Source organism: Homo sapiens, chromosome 9 (assembly GCF_000001405.40).
Source record: "Homo sapiens chromosome 9, GRCh38.p14 Primary Assembly".
NCBI lineage: Eukaryota > Metazoa > Chordata > Mammalia > Primates > Hominidae > Homo > Homo sapiens.
The window spans coordinates 114231249-114249979 of record NC_000009.12 but is presented as its reverse complement, the minus strand read 5'-3'; the positions used below and the strand labels follow the sequence as shown (position 1 = coordinate 114249979).

Genomic DNA, 18731 nt, shown 5'->3' with positions numbered 1-18731 from the left:
CAAACACGCACACGCGCAGCGAGGGTGGACAGCCTAGAGGGGTCACCTAGGAAGGCCCATCAATTTCTTATTCAGGCCCCACCTTCTTCCCTGCTAAGGAAAATACAAACTGAGCCGGGAGGGCCTTGTGTGGTTCAGGAGTGCAGAAGTGGCTTTGGAAGAACCCAGATTTGCAGCCAAGAGGTTCTGGGTGAATTAGGAAAGATGGAGGGATGAGTGGATTTTGTCCATAAAATCCGCTCCCTGTCCCCCAAACCCTGGCCAGAGTAAAATGAGACCTTGGGCCAGGAATAGGCCAGAGTTTGTGTACTCAGTCAATAAGGCCGGCCCAGCTGTCAGTTAACTACCATGAGAGGGTTACCTCTGGGATCCACACTTTCTTATCTAAAGACAGTTTTAAAGTGGTCACTTCAGCGAGGGCCACACGTGTCTTGCTGCTGCAGCCTGGGATGTCCGCTCTGGTTGTGTGGCTCCAAAGACCACGCACCTTCCCCTCCAGCCCAAGGCCTCCAAAGCATGTGGCTGTGAACAGGGCCCGGATCTCCCGTACATCCCAGCACCACGCTGGCACTACGCATGGTGGATCCTGCACCTGCCCCTGGTTCCCTGGGTTCAGAGAACTTTCTGAAGTATAAGGTAAGAGGGATGAGGCACTAGGTATAAGGTCACAGCTAACATTTCACAGAAAATAACCAAATACTTGATTTTTGCAACAACTTATTTTTAAAAATTAATTAGAGCATTTTCTAAGTGATAGCAATATTATAACAACGGCTTCAACGTATTGAGCACTTCCTGTGTGCCAAGCCCTGTACCTGGCACTTTATCTATGTAACTGTCATTCAGTCTTCAGGTGTGTGGGTTCTGGGCAAATCAGTCTCTCTGAGCCTCATCTGCAGAATGGGAGACAATAAAGGTACCTCCCTACTTCCTGGCACTGTTCCGAATACGGGAGATGGTGCACGATGCGTAGAGGTACTTCATACATGTTCGCTCTTTCCCATCCCCTCTTAATTTATTTTACAAGGGCACAGGGGTAAGACAGAGGCCTGGGCTTCCCACAAGGGAGCAGTCAGACATTTAGAGGATGCCGAATGAAGGGAATAAAAACTGCTCTGTTAAAAGGCCCCTGCCTGACTGGCCCAGAGAAACAGAAATTTCATAGCTACTTTAAATTTATGAGATGTTGGGTCCTGGAAGGCAAGCGGGTCATAAACCTCTAACAAGAAACCAAACAAGATCCTAATGAATAAGAGCCATACAGCAAGTGCCCCATCCCCCGACCCGCACCCCTGGGACCCCCCCGGGGTACTGTCCCAGAACATCCTGGCAGGCCTGTTCTTGAGGCTGGTCCAGAGAGGCCAGGCCCAGAAGTCCAGGCAGGTCAACGGAGAAGCAGCTTGGAAAGCTGCGGGCATGGCTGGCTCCTCTAGGGCTGGCAAGGCGGGCATGGGAGGAGGCAGCATTGTTACCCACAGCGGGCACCGCACAGGCAGGATCCGAGTTCCCAGTTTTGGGGAGGAGGCTAGCCTGGTCCTCACATTGCCTACAGATAAAGGGCCATTGTCTGCTACCGGAAGTTTTCTTCCTCCTCTCATATGCTAGGCACTGGGGATGCAACTGAGAATGAGAGGGCTATGGACCCTGAGCTGGACTAGACAGCTCAGTGTGACGTGTTTATATGCGTGGCTGCCCCTGGACGGGGTGTCTTGAAGGCAAGACCCATGCCCTGTTCCCAGCACCTCGGCCAGGGCCTGGCAGCCAGTCTGTGCTCTGTTAGAGACAGGCCAGGGCTCAGGAGGTCGGAGAGTTTTCAGCCCTCGAGGCAGGCATTGGGAACCCAGCAGACCTCAGGGTCAATCTTGCCTCTGACAGTGATGTTACTGCCTGTGAGATCTCGGACAAGTTACTTAACTTCCCAGAGCCTCAGTTTCCTCATTTGCAAAATGAGGACAGTAATACCTACTGCCATAGACGATTGTGTAGATAGCATTTGGCACAGAGTCTGGAACCTAACAGGTGACTAATAAATGTCACTGTTATTGGGTTGTTGCAAAAGTAATCGCAGTTTTTGCCATTATAATGCTAAAAACTGTGATTACTTTTGCACCGACCCAGTACTATGATTACAAGGAGGTCCTGTGGTGTGAGCTTCAGAACTTTCCCAGGGATCCTCTGATCCTGCAGTGAACAGAAAATGCCTCCCCTTTCACTGTGACCACATGGGGTGGGGGCCAAGGGAACGGCTGGCATGGTACCTCCATGTGCCTTATAGCAGCCACAGGGTTCCAGCTCTGCCTCCTTCCCGCTACTGTCCAAGCTGCCTGGGCAGCAAGCCGGGTGTTCTGCTGACCAAATGAGACTGGGCTGCTCCAGGCAAGGTTCCCACCCCTCCTGGGCCTAGTTCTACCACTATCCCACTTGGTGATCTTGGTCAAACGTGCTTCTCCTCCATAAATCCCAGATTGCCAACATGGACTAGAATCTGAGGGTTCTAAACCCGGGGTCTCTGTCAGTCTCTATGAATGGAACTCAGAGGGTATATCAACTTGAATGGAAAAAAATTAAAACTCTTTCATTTTCATGAACCTCTAATTGAAATTTAGCATTTGCCTCGAATATGAGTGTAGGCAACAAACCACAGTAGTACTACCAGGACCTGGGACTGTCCCAGAAAGTGACATGGCACATTACAATCATTGCTGCAGAGATCTCAAAATACATCACTAAGGCTTGGCATTACTTCAAAATTGAGGCCGCTGTTACACCTGCTACTAGAACTCATTATTTAATGCATTGCCAAAGAAGCATATATATGAATATATTATATTTTAACATATTTTCATAATTGCATTTCTATATAATCAGTTTCCTTTGTTTTTAATTTTATGCATTTATAAACTCTATTCTGAGAAGGGGATCCCTGGGCCTTTCCAGCCTGGCAAAGAAATCCAAGGCACAAAATATGGTTAGGGCTCTTAGATACAGTGATTTCCAAGGATCTTTGTGCTCTGACTTCCAAGACCCTGCATATCTATTTCCCGAGGGCCCTACCATTAGCATAACTATGAAACTGAATTTGCTGATCAAATTGCCTTTTTTTTTTTTTTCCAATCAGGAAATATATCCAGGCCGCGGCAGCCTCTCCAAACTCCCGGGCTTCCCACAGAATGCGCTCGAATGACACTGGAAAGATTTCAAAAATCCAGGCCTCCCCCTGTTTTAATTCCTTTCTTCCCCCAACAGATGTTGCAGGCCTGGTGAGGAAGCCCATCGTGTGTGACTCTCACGCCACTGACGGGGTTTCGTGGTGCGGCCAAATTCCTCTATGGCCATCCCCAGCATCAGTCCTTCCGGATTGAGGAAGCCCCTTCCAGGAATGAGCTCCATATTTAAAGGAGTGGAGGAGATGAACACCTCTCCACCTTGGAGCCAAGAGGTTAAGCTTTCAGGAGGCCCCAGGGCTGGGCAGGAAGGATTGAAGCTGTCCCTCTGCCCATCCCTCAGAGCTGTTTCTCTGGACTTTAATTGAAGGTCGTGATCCTCAAACCTTCATTTTAATGACTAGTTGCAACCTCTTCTCTTCTTCAGACCTTGACCCAGCTTCTCAACCAGCCAGAGCCACTGGTTTGGATTTCATCTTCTATATAATTTAGGGATGCCTAGACCAAGGGACCTTGGCAAGTGGTAACACTTCTCTGGCCTTTGGCTTCCTGATCTATAAGCTGATGGGAACACGAGCAACGACTGCCAAGGGCTCCTCCAGTTTTAATGTCCTGGGGGAGCAGTCACATAACCTCTTTGGGCAAATGCACCAAAAACCTGTGTGTAGAGTCAGGCTGTGGGGAAAAGCTGTCGTGACTATGATCCACAGCTTTCTCATTTACAGACTTCCCCGTTCTGAGGGTCACCGTCCACATTCGTGAAAGGGGTAGAGGACTGAACCTACCTCTGGAGTTGTTCTGAGAATTACACGAGGTGGTGCATGGAGGGTGCTGGGCAAAGGGCTTGGCACAGAGTAAGGGCCCAATAAATGGAGCCACTCATTCAGAGACCGTTGCTAACTAACCTGCTCTCCCACAGGCCCCGGCCGACCAGGATCCCCTGGTTCCCCCTGCAAAGAGACAAAGAGGAGGATGGATTGGGATGGGAGATGAAAGTCTAGACCTCCTGGGGAAGTCCCAGGCCTGCTGGCCTTAGCTGCCATTAGTGGGGATGAACCAGGGATCTTATCTCCAGTGTGTGGCCTTGGAGACCCCCAACAAATGGGCAGAGTCAAAGGGGTACTTGGACAGAACCTCAGGCAGACATGACTCTAGTCACCCATTCCCTCTGAGGGGGCCTTGGCTTACTCAGCACCTGGATGTGTATGTCTCATCTAGGTCCTTCAGAAGCCCATTGCATTTTGTGGAGGTGGAAAATGAGGCCCAGAGAGGTGAAGTGACCTGCCTGAGGTCACACAGTGAGCCAGAGGTAGGGCTAGAACCGAAACCTTGGTCTGCCCGGTTGAAATGCACATTCTGGGCCAGGTGCGGTGGCTCACGCCTGTAATCCCAGCACTTTGGGAACCCGAGGCAGGCGAATCACCTGAGGTCAGGAGTTCGAGACCAGCCTGGCCAACATGGAGAAACCCCATCTCTACTAAAAATACAAAAAATTAGCTGGGTGTGGTGCTGCATGCCTGTAATCCCAGCTACTGGGGAGGCTGAGGCAAGAGAATTGCTTGAACCCAGGAGGTGGAGGTTGCAGTGAGCCGAGATTGCACCACTGTACTCCAGTCTGGGTGACAAGAGCGAGACTGTCAAAAAAAAAAAAAAAAAAAAAAAAAAAACAAGAATGCACATTCCCACTGCATCAGGCTGCCCTATCTCAGGAAGAGCAGGGAAATGGGACGTCAGGGCACCAGGGTCCTAGACCTCAACACACTAGAGCTCTGCCACCAGCTCACGGGTGGCTGGGGTGAGTCCCATCTCTGCTCTGGGCTCAGCCTCCCCAGCTATAAAAAAGGGAAATCAGACTCATTTGTCTTCAAGGCTCTGTCCCACTTTCACATTGGGTGGCCTATCTCGGCCTTGTCTGTCTGTTTTGTCCCATGCTGAGATGGCTCCTGCTCCTCAGGCCCACAGCAGATCTGTGGGACAAATCCACACAGACGATGTCACCACTCCCACCACAGAAACCCAACTGGTATCTGAGGGAGAGAGGCCGAAACCTCAGACGGCAGGACATGGGCTCGGGCTAGCCAGTAGTTTGGCGCATACATGGATGTGGCTTACTGCAAGCCTGGGTGGAGCCTCCTCCCCCTTCGGCTCCTCCCTGGACCTCATGAAAACTAGAGGGGCCAGGACAGATAAGTGGGCCATTTCCCCAGAAGGGAGGGAGATATGGATGACCTGCGCTCCCCCTGGCTCTGTCCTAACCTCCTGTGGGTTTGCCCATCTGTAAACTTGACCCGACAATCTTTTGCCCAGAATGGCTGGGAAAACTCCAACTTAAGGGAGTCCTTGGGAAACTATTAAGTGAGGCTGCCCATGGGCTGAGGACCATTACTCTCCTATCTTGGGCCAGGTCTTTTTTGATAACATTTTTTAAAAACCCTGTTAATATATGTACTATCTATTTATTATGCAGAATAGGGAAAATATAGAGGCCCACAGAAGAAAATGAAAATCTCCTATTGTCCCACCACCCAGAGATAATCCCTGTCCACTTTCTAGCCTCTGCTCTGTGCGTAAAGAAACAGGGTGCCATGTTGGCCAGGATAGTTTCGATCTCTTGACTTCTTGATCCGCCTGCCTTAGCTTCCCAAAGTGCTGCGATTACAGGTGTGAGCCACTGCACCCAGTCAACATGGTGAAACTCCATCTCTACTAAAAATACAAAAAAATTAGCTGGGCGTGGTGCTGCACACCTGTAGTCCCAGCTACTCGGGAGGCTGAGGCAGGAGGACCAGTTGAACCTGGGAGGCAGAGGTTGCAGTGAGCTGAGATTGCACCACTGCACTCCAGCCTGGCAACAGAGGGAGACTCCATCTCAAAAAAAAAAAAAAAAAAATGAAAGAAAAAAACAGAAACGGTGCAACCCAGCCCCTGCCACAGGCTCACACTTGAGCATTCCCTTTTATAACCTGTTTCCTCCACCACCCCCACCCCACATTCAGGCATCTTCCCATCTTGTAAAATAGCCCGAAACACCATCTAGGGTGGCTGGACTATATCCCACTACTTGAACAATCCCCCACAGTTGGACACTTAGGTTGTGTCCATTTTTTTCTCCCTTACCAATACTTTGTTCTAAACAGGAACCAATTTTTTTCTCCCTTTTCACAACTGGCCATGGGATTTGGGGCTTGACTTGGGGCCCAGATATGTAGGATCCCCTCTTTCCTCTTGTCCCCAGGGATCTCCAGGTCCCCTCACCTTCACGCCATCCAGGCCGGGCCTCCCAGGAAACCCCTTCCTGCCAGGCTGACCCTGCAACAGAGAGACAGGTAAGTGGGAGAAGCTGGACAGGGGCAACATGGCTGGGGTCCAGGGGCTCCAAGGGCCTGGCACAGGGTATCCACAGCTGTAGAGAGCCACATACCCTGGTGGACAGGGGCATATAACCCTGAGTCCACCAGGTGGCCAGCTGTCCTGGAATACAGGCAGGGTTTCCAGCTGCGTGAACTCAGGGAAGCCTCCCCCATCCCTGGGTTGGTCTTCTTGTTGTAAATGAGGAAGATGACACCTGCCTTCAGGGAGTGAGGGAAAGGAAGGAACTTGGCAGATGATCGGGGGGTGCAGGGAAGGAACAGTTTATGCAAGTGGTCCTCAAAGTGTGGCCTGAGGACTACAGGGGTCCCGGAGGCCCTTTCAGAAGGTTCAGGAGGTCAAAATGATTTTCATGATAACACTAAGATGTCATTCGCCTTTGTCACTCTCACTCTGGTGAATGTTAAGTGGCATCTTCCCGAGGCTGCATGGCGCGCAATATTGTCAGTGGATTGAATGCAGAAGCGGAGTTGAGAAGCCAGCTGACTTCTATTAAGCCAGACATTAAAGAGAGATCTGCAAAAATGGTAACACAATGCCACTCTTTCCACTCAATTATTTTGCTATGGAAAATAGCGTGAATTCTCCTAAAAATATAATTTTTATCAACAGGAAATGAGTTTATGATTAATCTTCAATGAATGAATAAATACATTTAAAGTCTCTTGGTTTTAATTACTAATCTCAGTAGGTGTAACCCACTCAAACAAAAGCCTTTGGGTCCTCCATCATTTTCAAGAGTGTAAAAAGCTCTGGATACCAGAAATTTCATGAGCTGCTGGTTTATGCAATGGCTGGGACCAAGAAGGGGTGTAGGACAAGTGACTTTGGGAAGGCAGCTTGGAAGAGTGCAGAGGGCTCGGGCTGAGGGCCCAGGCAGGGCGTCCCCACTGCCTGGCTGTGAGATGTCGAGCTAAAGCCTTCACTCTCGTTTGCCTCTTCTCTAATGAAACCAAGGAAAGCAATCATGTGTCATGGGAGAATCAAGGAGAATAAATACTGACATGAAGCACCTGGAACATAGGAGGTGGGCAGTGACAGTCAGTTTCTTGGCTCTTGTCTCTCTCCTTTGGGGTCTGTCCTAGTTCTCTCTCTGGCTGGTCCAAGGCCCTCACTGATGACTTCCCTCTGGAGCACTGGCCAGATGTTGCCCTGCCTGTGCACAGCTGGCTCAGCTCCCATGAATGCCACCTACCCCAGGCCAGTGACACTCACCTCCAAGCCAGGGGCCCCTGGCGGCCCCATGGGTCCCTCATCTCCCTAGAATTGGGAGACACGAGAGAGGAAAAAAGGAGAAAGTTAATCCAGTTGGACTTGCAGAGATCTTGTCCTGTATGGAGGGAAAGGGATGGACAGAGGAGAGCCCTCCTGGACAAAGGGAAACAGCACGCCTGGCCCACCTGCCTGGCCCCACCCAGGGCAGAGGCTCCACTGGCCATGGCCTAGAGGCCAGGCTACACAGTGACTTCCAGTGAATGGAGACTCCAGGCTTCATGGAAGCCCTGGGCATGAGAGTTAAACCCCGTTGTGTGCTGTGAGGAACAGAGCCTCAAACTGCAGCTCAAAGATGTAGGCTCTGAGTTCTGCCATTTGCTCACTGGCAGACCTCAGCCTCACTGTGTCTCAGTTTCCCAGATTGGAGAAGATCATCCTCAAATATAATAAGTGGCTTCAGCTGAGTTCCTGGAGGTCAGCAGTGATGCCTTATTCTTTCTTGCAGCCACCCCCAAACATCACTCGGGATGGTGCCGTGTCTAAGGGGTGTTTGGTGAGTGAATGAATGAATGAATGAAGATGTGAACAAGTGGCAGGCATACATAGGGCTTTCTTGAGTGGTAATGTGAGTGTAGACAGAAGCATGTGGCTGGTGCCGTTCCCTCCTCTCCCCTTCCTTCCCGCTTCCGGCCCATGAGACTCTCCAGGTGCTCCCCACCCCCACAGGCTCAGGCAGCCTCCTAATTGGCTCCTTCTGGCATGCCAGGCCTGACCAAGGGGCTCCCTCCAGAGACACCCCCCAGCTCCTTTTCCCCAGCTTCCAGGAAAGCAGCTCCACGTGGTGGCTCCCAGAGCCAGTGCTGGGACCCCGCCAGACCCAGAGCCAGCCCGAGAAGGGATCCATGTCAGCTGGATGCCCGCCTGCGGTCGCGGTGAATCTGGGCTTCCCGCACCCTCAGCCCAGGGCTGTGTGTCACGGGGGCCTGGCGCCTGAGCTAAGGTAGGTGGGGCATGGGAAGGCTAAGAATGGCCTCGTGCACAGGGCAAAATCAGGGGCCCACCCATTAAGTGCCCACCTGGTGCTCCAACAGCCCCATAGAGACCCCTCCCAACCCACTTCATCCAGCGCACATAAATAAGCAAATCGATGCTCTGCCACTAACTAATTGTGCAAGTCATTGTAATATTCTGGAGGTGCCCCTAGGCCACTCCCAGGAAGCACAGAGTTGACAGCAAGGCCACTCCCAGGAAGCACAGAGTTGACAGCATAGGACGTATGTCATGGGCTTTGGGCTCAAGCAGACCTGGGTTCCCATTGCAGCCCTGCCTGCTACTAACCATAAGACCTGACTGAGTCTCTTTTCCTCTCTGGGCCTCAGTGGCCTCATCTGTAAAATGGGGCTGACACTTCCTACTCCCTCATTAATGCCCTGATAAACTGCTACCACGAGCACGGCATTGTCAGTAGCTCTGGGAAAGAAAACCCCAGGGTGACGAGGGTGCAGAGGAGGGAGGGTGCGGGGAAGCCACCCTGCCAGGTGACAGCAGGGCAGAGAAGGTCCCTGGAAGGGGCACGGGGCAGGGCTGTATAGGATGAGCTGGTGGGTAAGTCTGGGGAAGCCCTGGGTGGTGTCCTGGCTGAGGGGGCTCCAGCCCAAGCTAAGGCCTTCAGTACCCAGGACAGGGCAGGCTGGGGGCTGCAATCAGGCCAGGATGGGCAGTGGAGGGGGCCAGACAGTCTCACCTCGGGCCCCAGCTGCCCACGGGGTCCCGGCAGGCCTCGGGCTCCAGGCTTACCCTGGGGAGAAGGGAACAAAAAGGGAGTCTCAGAGGCGGTACCTCCATCTCCATCGCAGGCTGGCAAGGCAACCCCTGCTTCCAAGCCAGGCAGCCAGCCCCTGTGGTTTCTGCAGAGCTGTCTGCTCCTCCAACTGGAGCTGCCCTGGGCAGGTACTCACCTTCATGCCTTCTGGGCCATTGTCGCCAGGGGGGCCGATGTCTCCTGGGAATCCCTGAGGGGAAGCAGAGAGCAGGGTCACCCACGGGGGCTGTGAAGGGAGTGCTACGGGGATGCGTCTTGCAGGGAGACTGACCGGGTTTCCATCTCATCCTGCTGGGATGGGACCCCAGGCAGGTCAGTTAACCACCTTGATCCCACAGTCCTCAGTTCTAAAACAGGGTGCATGGTTCCAGCCCTGACACCTCAGAGAGTTGCTGAGACAATACACCGGACGGTGCAGGAAAGCATTAAGGTTGTAACATGGAAGGTCACACTCAAGGTCGTTATTTCTCAAATCCGGTGCTGCTACTGGGTCAGAATTATGGGTGTCTGGGGACATTGCTCCCCAGAGCCAGCCACGCCTTGCCCTGAGAAGTCTTGTCTTTTGACTGCAGTAATCCTGCAAAGAGGATGATTTTCTGGGTTTGCTGTGACTTTGAAAGCATTGAAAAGCACTGATTTAATTAACCTCAGCTCCAGTCATCGTAAGCTTAAGTCCTTCCTACATCTTGGCCACATGTGTTGGACTCTGCCCCACTCCACCCATGGGGGCTCCCTGCTTCCCAGTGAGGGCCATTCCCCTGGGATGACTGTACAATAGAAGGTTCTTCCCACATGGAGCGGAATCACCTCCCTTCCCTGCAATATCCTCGTGCTCCTCCTTAGGGCCCCACAGAGCACAGGGACTCCCTCTCCCCACAGTGGTCTTTGCACAATTTGGAGACCTGTTACGCAGTTCCCAGAGCCCTGCCCTCCTCCTGTGTGACCCTGGGCAAGTTCCTTAGCCTCTCTGGGCCTCAGCTTCCTCATCTGTAAAATGGTGCTCGTAACACCTCCCTTACAGGGCTAGTCTTAAGTTTAAATGGAACCAGCAAAGTTGCAAGTGCTCAGTAAAAATCTGCATCCAAAATGATTTTGGGTCCTGTACTCTGGGAAAAGAAGTCTGCCTGGGGTGGGCCCATCTCTAAGTGAGAACTTAGCAGTCGGGATGCTGAGCAAATCCTGATGCTCACTTGCATATAACCCACTGATGAGTGAGAGATAATTCACCCGGGTGCTGGAGAGCTGGAGCTCCCTCCCATGGTCTCAGGGAAAGAAGCAGGCAGGGTGCTGACGCGCTTATCAGCTTCCGCGCTTATCAGCTTCCCCCTTCAGCTGAGCAGAGCTATCTCTCGGCTACAGAGTCAGCCAATCAAAACAGAGCACAAAGACGGGAGAGGCTGATGGCTAAATTGTCCAGGGACCCAGGAAAGGGCCAAAGCAGACCTTATTTGTTCCTACATAGCAGAGCAACCCTGAGGAAGCCACTTTCCTGCTCTGTGACTCAGTTTCTTCAACTGTAAACTGGTGGTGGTAATATCCCCCTCATGCGGCTGTCGTGGCGATTCAGCAAGTTCTCATCTCGAGGACACTGCACAGCCTCCTGGCACCAGGAGGTGCCTAATAAATGTGAGGGAGCATGCCTTCCACCCTCACGGGCCAGAATGCTGGGAAAGCTGGACTCTCAGAAAAGCCTTTTTCCAGCGACCAGAGGAGGGAATTGGGGCCATGGAGGAGAGGCCAAGTCCATTTGTCTAAAGATAGGACTGTGTCATGGCCAAAGTCAACAGAGTGGAAAGTCAGAACTTGTAGCTTTTAGGAAACATTTCCTCATCCATCCGAGTGATAGCAGAAGTGATCTTTGGCAGGGTCCGGCCTATCCACAGAGCCACACTTTTGTCTTGGATGCAGAGACCTCATGGGTGAGCAAGACCTGGAGGCTAGGGAGTTGTGGGTGGGGGGCTCCAACTGAGGTTGGCCTGGGTGCCAATGATCCTGAGAGGGACGGCAGCCCTGGCTCCTGCTCAGCCCAGCTCTCTAGACACGAGACCCCTGTTAAAGACGGGGGCGTCAAAAAGAACCCAGCCAGCTTGCTTCGCAACATTACATGTGAATTCCGAGTTGATCATTCAGGTGTAGCCTACCTATGCCAATGATCACACACATCAGAAACCCTGAGGCTCTCTCCTGACTCAACTAGAGTTATTATATTAATTGCTAAATCTATCCTTATTTCTCATTCTTCATTCAAAAGCCCGAATTTTGCATTTACCTCTTGCTCCCCATACCCGGAAGCTCTGAGCCCTGAACCGTTCCAGAGTGGCTGTGGGTGGCTAGGAAAGTTCCAGGGCTTGGAGAGGGAACTCTGAGTGGAGAATGTGGGAAGCTCCTGTGAGGGACCAGACAGTGGCGCACAGAGGGCTTTCATGAATCACAAAGCTGCGGTGGCCACAAAGTTGGCAGAGGACTCTGAGGCCACCTTTTGGCCCTGTTGACTTTTGAGAGCCCCTGAGTAAGAGCAGAAGAGCAGAAGGGGAAAATAAATGATTGCTGATCTAGGAGTTTCTCCTCTCAGCCTCATCTCTCATATCCTGTGTGACCTAAAGCAAGTCTTTCCCCATCCCTGGGCCTCAGTTTCCCAAGGACAAGACCGAGTCCCAGCAGCAGCCAGACACGGAGAAATGGGGCATCACATACCTCGGGTCCAGGGGGCCCGGGAAACCCAATGGATCCTTTGTCTCCGACTTTGCCCTGTGGAAGAGAAGAGGTTGCAGGGAGGCAGGGGTGAGGACCCCACCTTCCATGAACCCCCTGCGTTCCCCCGCTGGTTGTGGATGGTTGGAAAGTTCAGAAGCATGTGCATAAAATCTGCCTGGACAACTAGAAGGAGCTACCATTCAAACTCTGCCTCCTGCACTTGCTAACCATGGGACCCTGGGCAAGTCACTTCAACTTTCGGAATCTTAGTTTGCCCATCTGTAAAATGGGAGCAATATTAATTCCCTCACTCCTGGGGTAGTTGGCAGCCTTCAAAGAAACAGTTCAGAAAGGGTCGGATGCACAGTGACACTCAATAAATGACAGCCACTGCTGTTACTGATAACATCACTATTGTTTACAAGGCATCAGGAACCCCAGATCCTCATCAGAGCTTTGTCGGCAAATGAGGCCTGCCTCTGAAGCTGGCTGAGTTACTGAGCCTCTCACAGTATCCTCATCTGTGAAATGAGCACATCCCATTCCTGCCCTGCCCTGCTTGCCCCCAGGAGCTCTGCTGCAGGAGGAAATGAAGTCTTGGAGGTGAAGGTGTCCCCAGCCACATTACACGATCAGTTGGAGAGTGTGAGGTTTGGGGGTGCTGGAGGAGCAGGTACTTACCAGAGGCCCTGGCTTCCCCCGTGCACCGGGGAACCCTGGCAACCCCTGGCTCCCCTGGAAGAGATCCAGAGCAGGCTGGGGTTAGTGAGGAAGAGAAATGGCCAGGTGAACAGCCGCCCAGTCCTCCTGCTGGTCCCAGGCCCAGAGAACGCCCGCCTTGGAGGAAGATGAGCTCCTTCCTTCCTTTCCCTGCTGTGGGCTCTGGCTTGGATCACACCTGCCTGACACCCCTATAGGCTGGGCCCCAGGAAATGCTAACATGAAACAGCAGCCCCTGTCCTCACCAGGAAGAATCAGGGACCCTGGGGCTGCACGCAGGCTCTGTGGTGCCTCTGACTCCTGGGGAACTCTGGAGACAGGGTCCAGTAGGGAAGAGCCAGGCCTGCTGTGGTTCACAACCCGGAGATACCAAGGCTGGGTCAGGACAGGCCAGCGAGGAGGGAGGGAAGAGGAAGAGGGAGAGCTGGCCAACATCTGGGCCTCGTTGACTGGCCGGGAGAGTTCCAGATGTGGCCACATGATGCCGGACACAGGCAAAGGGGAGCCAGTCTCAGCAGGCCCACAGCTGGGCTCTGGAAGTCAAGGCCACCTCAGTTTGATCCCATAGTCAATATGTCATTTTGTAAGGCCAGTTACTCCCTCAACCTTATCCTAAATATTCATGATCAAGGACAGGACCCTGAGCCGAGCTCCATCAGGGCAGTCTGGAGCCTTGTTCTTAGGGAACTCACTGTCTGGCAGGGGACACAGTACAAGTCCCCCAAAATCAGAGGAGAAAGGTGGCACCACCAGTGAGGGGAGGACATGCCTCTCAGAGCATCTAGAGAGGGAAATGGCCACTTTCTGAGCAGGTGGGGAAAAAGGGCTCTGAGCAGGGTGGTGTGGAGAGGCTGGGTGGAGGGGGTCCCGGGCGGGTAGCAGTCTGTGTGTGTGTGTGTGTACAGAGGCCCACGGCAGGCGGTTCAGTGGGGCTGGAGTGCAGAGCTGTAAGGCGGGGAGCAGGAGAATATCAGAGAGATGCACTCACTGGGGTCCTGATGTCTGGTTAGGGAGCCAGGGTGTCATTCTGAGAGCAATAGGGAGCCATGGACGGTGTGTGAGCGGAGAGCAGAGCTTTGCCCTCAGAAGAACAACTGGGTAGCAGTAAAGAAGAAAGAGAGAAAGCAAGAGGCTGGGGCCCAGAAATAAGTTAAAAGGTCACACTGTAAAGTCCAAGGAAGAGATGACAAGAGGATCAAGGATGGAGAAGACTGGATTATTTCGAGGGCAGCCGTCTTACAGGTGGGTCCTTGCTCATGATGGACCCTAGGAAGGAAGCCAAGACCAGGGGAACAGCAGGGCAGGGGCAGGGGCAGGGGGAGGGGAAAATCTCATGCAATTACCTTGTCTCCTTGGAATCCGGGATCTCCTGACACACCTGGAACCCCTTGTTCACCCTAAGTACACACCAGCAAAGAAGGTTACAATGGAGGCCACGTGGGTTCTGGAAGCCTCCCCCACAGACCCCCTGGCGAGGTACAGCTGTGCCGAGGCTGTTTCCCAAGTCGGATCCGGCCAGCAGCAGCCTTGTGAGAGGAAAGGACGGGCCCCTGGCGAGGAAAGCAGGCGGTGGCGGGGGGTGAGCTGGCCAATGTGCAGACTTGCCTGGGGCTGCTCGGATGGCTGAAAATGCCACTAACAGAAGCTAAGCTGCCCACTGCCCAGTGTCAACTGGCCTTGCCTGGAGAACTGATGCAGAGCAAATCAAGTGTTTGATCCTTCAACCTCTTCATCATTAACGGGTGTTGTCACACAGGGGTGAAGGCAGCGTGTGCAAGGGCCCCCACACCAACGTGGTTTCGGAGCGTTTGTGTCTGCTCAATTTTTCACCATCAGACTGAGCTGTCACTTCCTCCTCATGTGGGAGTTTCTGTGCCAGCAAGCAGCTTTGGTCTATTTTTTTTTTTTTTTTTTTTGAGATGGAGTCTCACTCTAGTTGCTCAGGTTGGAGAGCAGTGGTGCAATCTTGGCTCTGTGCAGCTTTGACCTCCCGGACTCAGGTGATTCTCTCACCTCAGCCTCCCCAGTAGCTGGGACTACAGGCGCGTGCCACCACGCCCAGCTAATTTTTTTTTTTTTTTTTGTATTTTTAGTAAAGATGGGGTTTCGCCATGTTGCCCAAGCTGGTCTTGAACTCCTGAACTCAGATGATCTGCCCGCCTCGTGCTGGGATTACAGGCGTGAGCCACTGTGCCTGGCCGGTCTACTTCTAATTAACTATTTTAATCAGCTATAGCATGGGAAATCAGATTTCCTGGCTTGTTGAGACTATGTGTAAACAGCAAGTAAATTGGTCTTGACTTAAGTCTGGGTGTTTGTCTTCTAACACGATGTACTGCACAGGCTTCGTGACACTGATTCTGGCTGCTGGAGGCCTCTTCTGCTCCCTCCCTGTTTTTAGCCATATTCTGAACAGGCAGTCCAGATTGGGAGCTGCTTCCCCTTAGGGCCGAAACCACCTCACACAGCCCTGGCCTCACTCTATCCAGCCCTCCACGTTGGACATTACTGACACTCTGTCAGCCCCAGGATTCCGAAAACATTTACATCCCTGGGAGCAGGAGGAAGAATGGGGAGAAAAACCCAGGAAAAATGGAAAACCTTAGAAAACCCACACATGGCTAAGGCCATGACCTAACAAAAGAACTTCCTTAGTAGAACAAAAGTCAGAATTAAAAAAAAAATTTTTTTTCAACTTACTTTGGTTTTTCCAATTTGGAAAATCCTGTACAACATCCTGGTATTTGGGGAACCACAGGACTTTTTTTTTTTTTTTTTTTTTTAATGTCCAAGAGAGGAGTGAAGGGGTGAAAAAAAGGAGTGAAAATAGAAAAACAAGGAAAGTTTAAAAGGCACCTAGGAAATCAGGACAATGAATTTGAAGGGAGCTGGGCTCGGAGCAGGAGCTTTGCTTCCAGAATGCTTCTCCAGGCTGAGAGAGGGAGCCAAGCGGTTGTAAGTGGGACTGAGTCCAGGCTGGGTCATGGAAAATCTGGGATTTGAGGCAGGAGCAACCTTGGAACGTGAAGGGATGGCTCTGTCATCCCAGGGTAGGGCCAGGGGACACGGATGTGTGCGTGGCTGATCGGAACACAGCCTTAAGGCTCCTCCCCACCAAAGGAAAAGGGGTTTCTTTCTCCCCCTCTCTCTCTTTTTTCCCCTAAAGACATTTGATTTTCCTAAAAACTATGGGCATGAAAATAATTTCCTCCTCCTTTTTCTTTTTCCAGAGTTTTCACATCTCTAAATGTCCCAGGCAACTCCCATCAGCAAGCCAGCCGAGTTCCATGTAACACATTTATTTCCATGTTCCTGAAGCAACGCTGAGCTGAGACCAGCTCTGCAAAGGGGCCTATAAAGAGCTCACTGCCTACACTCTCATTTTCCCCAGCTTCCTTTCTCTCTCGTCCATGACTTCAACATTTCCAGAGCGCTGATGTCTCAAACCTTGGGATAAACAGGTAGGTGTGGGGAACCCCCTGCCTCCATCAGAAAGCCCCTTCAAAGAGGGAGGGCTCTGGCAGAAAGGTGTAGCAGACAGCAGGGCAAGGGGGGCAGAGGTGGGTTGTGGCTGGAGGCTTGGGCATGACAGGAGGAGATGGAAGAGGTAGAAACAGGTAGAGAAAGGACTGGGGTTGGCATGGCACCCAGCTGGCTACCCAGGGATAGGCTTGAGTAAAACAATCTGGAGATGTCCATTTTCACCCAGCAATTCTAATGTTCTAAGAGTCCAGGGGCCTGCAAATCTCTTTCTCTCCCTGGGTCTTGGTTTCTCCATCTGTGAGACGTAGGAACTGTGAAATGTGACCTCCCAGAGTCTCACCAGCTCTGACCTTCTGACTTAGTTCTGCTTCACAGTTGAGGTCTCTGGAGCCAGGTAACTTTCTACTTACCAGCTGCGTGGCCTCAGGCAAGCTTCTTTTTTGAGAGGGAGTCTTGCTCTGTTGCCCAGGCTGGAGTGCAGTGGCACGATCTTGGCTCACTGCAACTTCTGCCTCCCAGGTTCAAGCGATTCTCCTGCCTCAGCCTCCCAAGTAGCTGGGATTACAGGCACCCACGACCACGCCCAGCTAATTTTTGTATTTTTAGTAGAGACGGGGTTTCACCATATTGGCCAGACTGGTCTCGAACTCCTGACCTTATGATCCGCCCGCCTTGGCCTCCCAAAGTGCTGGGATTATAGGCATGAGCCACTGTGCCCGGCCCAAGCAAGCTTCTTATTTCATAGTGGGTAGGAGGATTAATGGGTGGATCCATGTGGTACACTCAGATGGCGCCCAGCATGGCACCTGACCTTATGACTCAGGTGTAGGAGGAAGCAGAGGCACCTAGAGACAGGTGCGGTGTCACCTGACCACATGAGGGGCTGGCTGAGCAGCAGTCAGTCCTTCGGATGTCTCATGGATACTTGGAATGTTGCTCTGAACCCCTCCTGCACCCCCTTCGGGGGTCCTGGTTTGCCAAGGTCTGAAGAGGCTAGGCAGGAAGATGGCCACAGAGCAGGGCACAAGTGCTGGGCCCTGTGTCTCTCGTATTCAGATGCTGCTTTGCTCTGGGCCCCCAGGGCCTGTCTTCCCACTTCCAACTCTGGTTTGGCACAGGGTGAGATAGGGAGAGCTCAGCAGCAGGGCTGTACAGAGGATACATGGCAAGGGCAGCCACCCCCATGGCAGCAGGAGGAGAAGCGGGTCAGGGGCTCAGAGTCGCATTTCCAGTCGGCACGCTCTCTGGGGTTTCCAATTTCATGCCAGGGTGATCTATGTAGATTTGTTTCCTCCTGTGCCCTCACTGCCACCCTCCTTGCTCTGTGGCTTTGCCTTCAAATCCCAGATGCTGGCCTCAGCTCTGCTCTCTGGATTCAGAGCCCTGTCTTGACATACCTGCCCTCCTTGCTGCAACAGCTGCTCCTGCACTATCTGCTGAGGTTTTCGGGCTCCCAGAACCATCTGCCTGAGCCCCACCCAGAGTGACCAGGAAGAAGCTAGGGAGCACAGATTTAGGGGAGGCCAGAGGAGAGGCAGGAAGAGTGCAGGGGAGTGGACCTGGCGAGAAATCAGCAGCAGCCTCCGGGCGGAGAGGGGGGTGGCATGCAGAGAAACCACAGTGCAATAAGGGAGTATTCAGATCACCTTATCACCTTTCAGTCCGGGCTCCCCCACGCTGCCCATCAGTCCCTGCAAGACAAAGCCCAAGGCCAGCTGTGATGGGACTCTAGGCCACAGAAGTCAGGAGCCCTGGCTTAAACACGACTTGCTGCAAGACCCCGTGCTAGATCCCCCAACCTCAGTGTTCACATCTGTAAAAGGGGGCAAATGACTCCAATCTCACAGGGCAAGGGTGTGGACTGAAGGAGCTGTGAGAGAGGCAGTGCACCACAGCACTGCAGGCAAATCCAGAGGAAGAAGGAACTGGTGGGGAGGGAAGGGCTTAATGAGCCGTGTCACACGCACGTTGGTTAAATTTGGTCGCCCCTGGGATGTGCTCTAGCAGTCTTGGCCTGCCTTCCTGCTGCACGCCCTTCCCACTCAGGGATGGGCTGAGTTCACTGGTTTGCCATGGTAGTTTCTATGGCCCTGGTGATGTCCCCCACTGGACTTCCGGTGCCCTGAGGCCTGGAACCCTGTCAGACTCATGCTCAGCTAGAGGAGGATGTCTGGCCTAAATGACATACAGATGATGCCTGGCTCTGAGGCCAGAGCTGACAGCTCCTGACCTGCCCAGCTTCCTCCTAGCACCCCTCTGAGCAT

The 18731-nt window shown here is 52.6% G+C and overlaps 1 protein-coding gene across 15 annotated transcripts in view, besides 4 other annotated features; it reads right to left on the bottom strand.

Moving 5' to 3' along the window:
* COL27A1 (collagen type XXVII alpha 1 chain) overlaps positions 1-18731 on the bottom strand; it is a 158414-nt gene that overhangs the window by 62532 nt on the left and 77151 nt on the right. For all 15 annotated transcript variants that reach the window (XR_929860.4, XM_011519138.3, XM_047423992.1 and 12 more), the window contains 9 exons: positions 18114-18158; positions 14328-14381; positions 12946-12999; positions 12265-12318; positions 9707-9760; positions 9493-9546; positions 7749-7793; positions 6420-6473; positions 4070-4114 (listed from right to left, as the gene is read on the bottom strand). Coding sequence is in view for 14 of the 15 variants with exons in the window: in XM_011519138.3 (XP_011517440.1) it covers positions 4070-4114; positions 6420-6473; positions 7749-7793; positions 9493-9546; positions 9707-9760; positions 12265-12318; positions 12946-12999; positions 14328-14381; positions 18114-18158 (459 nt within the window). In the remaining variant the exon portion in view is untranslated. The remainder of the gene's footprint in view (positions 1-4069; positions 4115-6419; positions 6474-7748; positions 7794-9492; positions 9547-9706; positions 9761-12264; positions 12319-12945; positions 13000-14327; positions 14382-18113; positions 18159-18731) is intronic.
* Positions 14097-14597: an enhancer, noted in NCBI's record as "H3K4me1 hESC enhancer chr9:116997663-116998163 (GRCh37/hg19 assembly coordinates)". NCBI's record gives its function as "activates a minimal SCP1, AML or CMV promoter by ChIP-STARR-seq in naive H9 embryonic stem cells {active_cell/tissue: H9 hESC(naive)}" and the evidence as "EXISTENCE:reporter gene assay evidence [ECO:0000049][PMID:30033119]".
* Positions 14598-15098: an enhancer, noted in NCBI's record as "H3K4me1 hESC enhancer chr9:116997162-116997662 (GRCh37/hg19 assembly coordinates)". NCBI's record gives its function as "activates a minimal SCP1, AML or CMV promoter by ChIP-STARR-seq in naive H9 embryonic stem cells {active_cell/tissue: H9 hESC(naive)}" and the evidence as "EXISTENCE:reporter gene assay evidence [ECO:0000049][PMID:30033119]".
* Positions 17028-17527: an enhancer, noted in NCBI's record as "H3K4me1 hESC enhancer chr9:116994733-116995232 (GRCh37/hg19 assembly coordinates)". NCBI's record gives its function as "activates a minimal SCP1, AML or CMV promoter by ChIP-STARR-seq in naive H9 embryonic stem cells {active_cell/tissue: H9 hESC(naive)}" and the evidence as "EXISTENCE:reporter gene assay evidence [ECO:0000049][PMID:30033119]".
* Positions 17528-18029: an enhancer, noted in NCBI's record as "H3K4me1 hESC enhancer chr9:116994231-116994732 (GRCh37/hg19 assembly coordinates)". NCBI's record gives its function as "activates a minimal SCP1, AML or CMV promoter by ChIP-STARR-seq in naive H9 embryonic stem cells {active_cell/tissue: H9 hESC(naive)}" and the evidence as "EXISTENCE:reporter gene assay evidence [ECO:0000049][PMID:30033119]".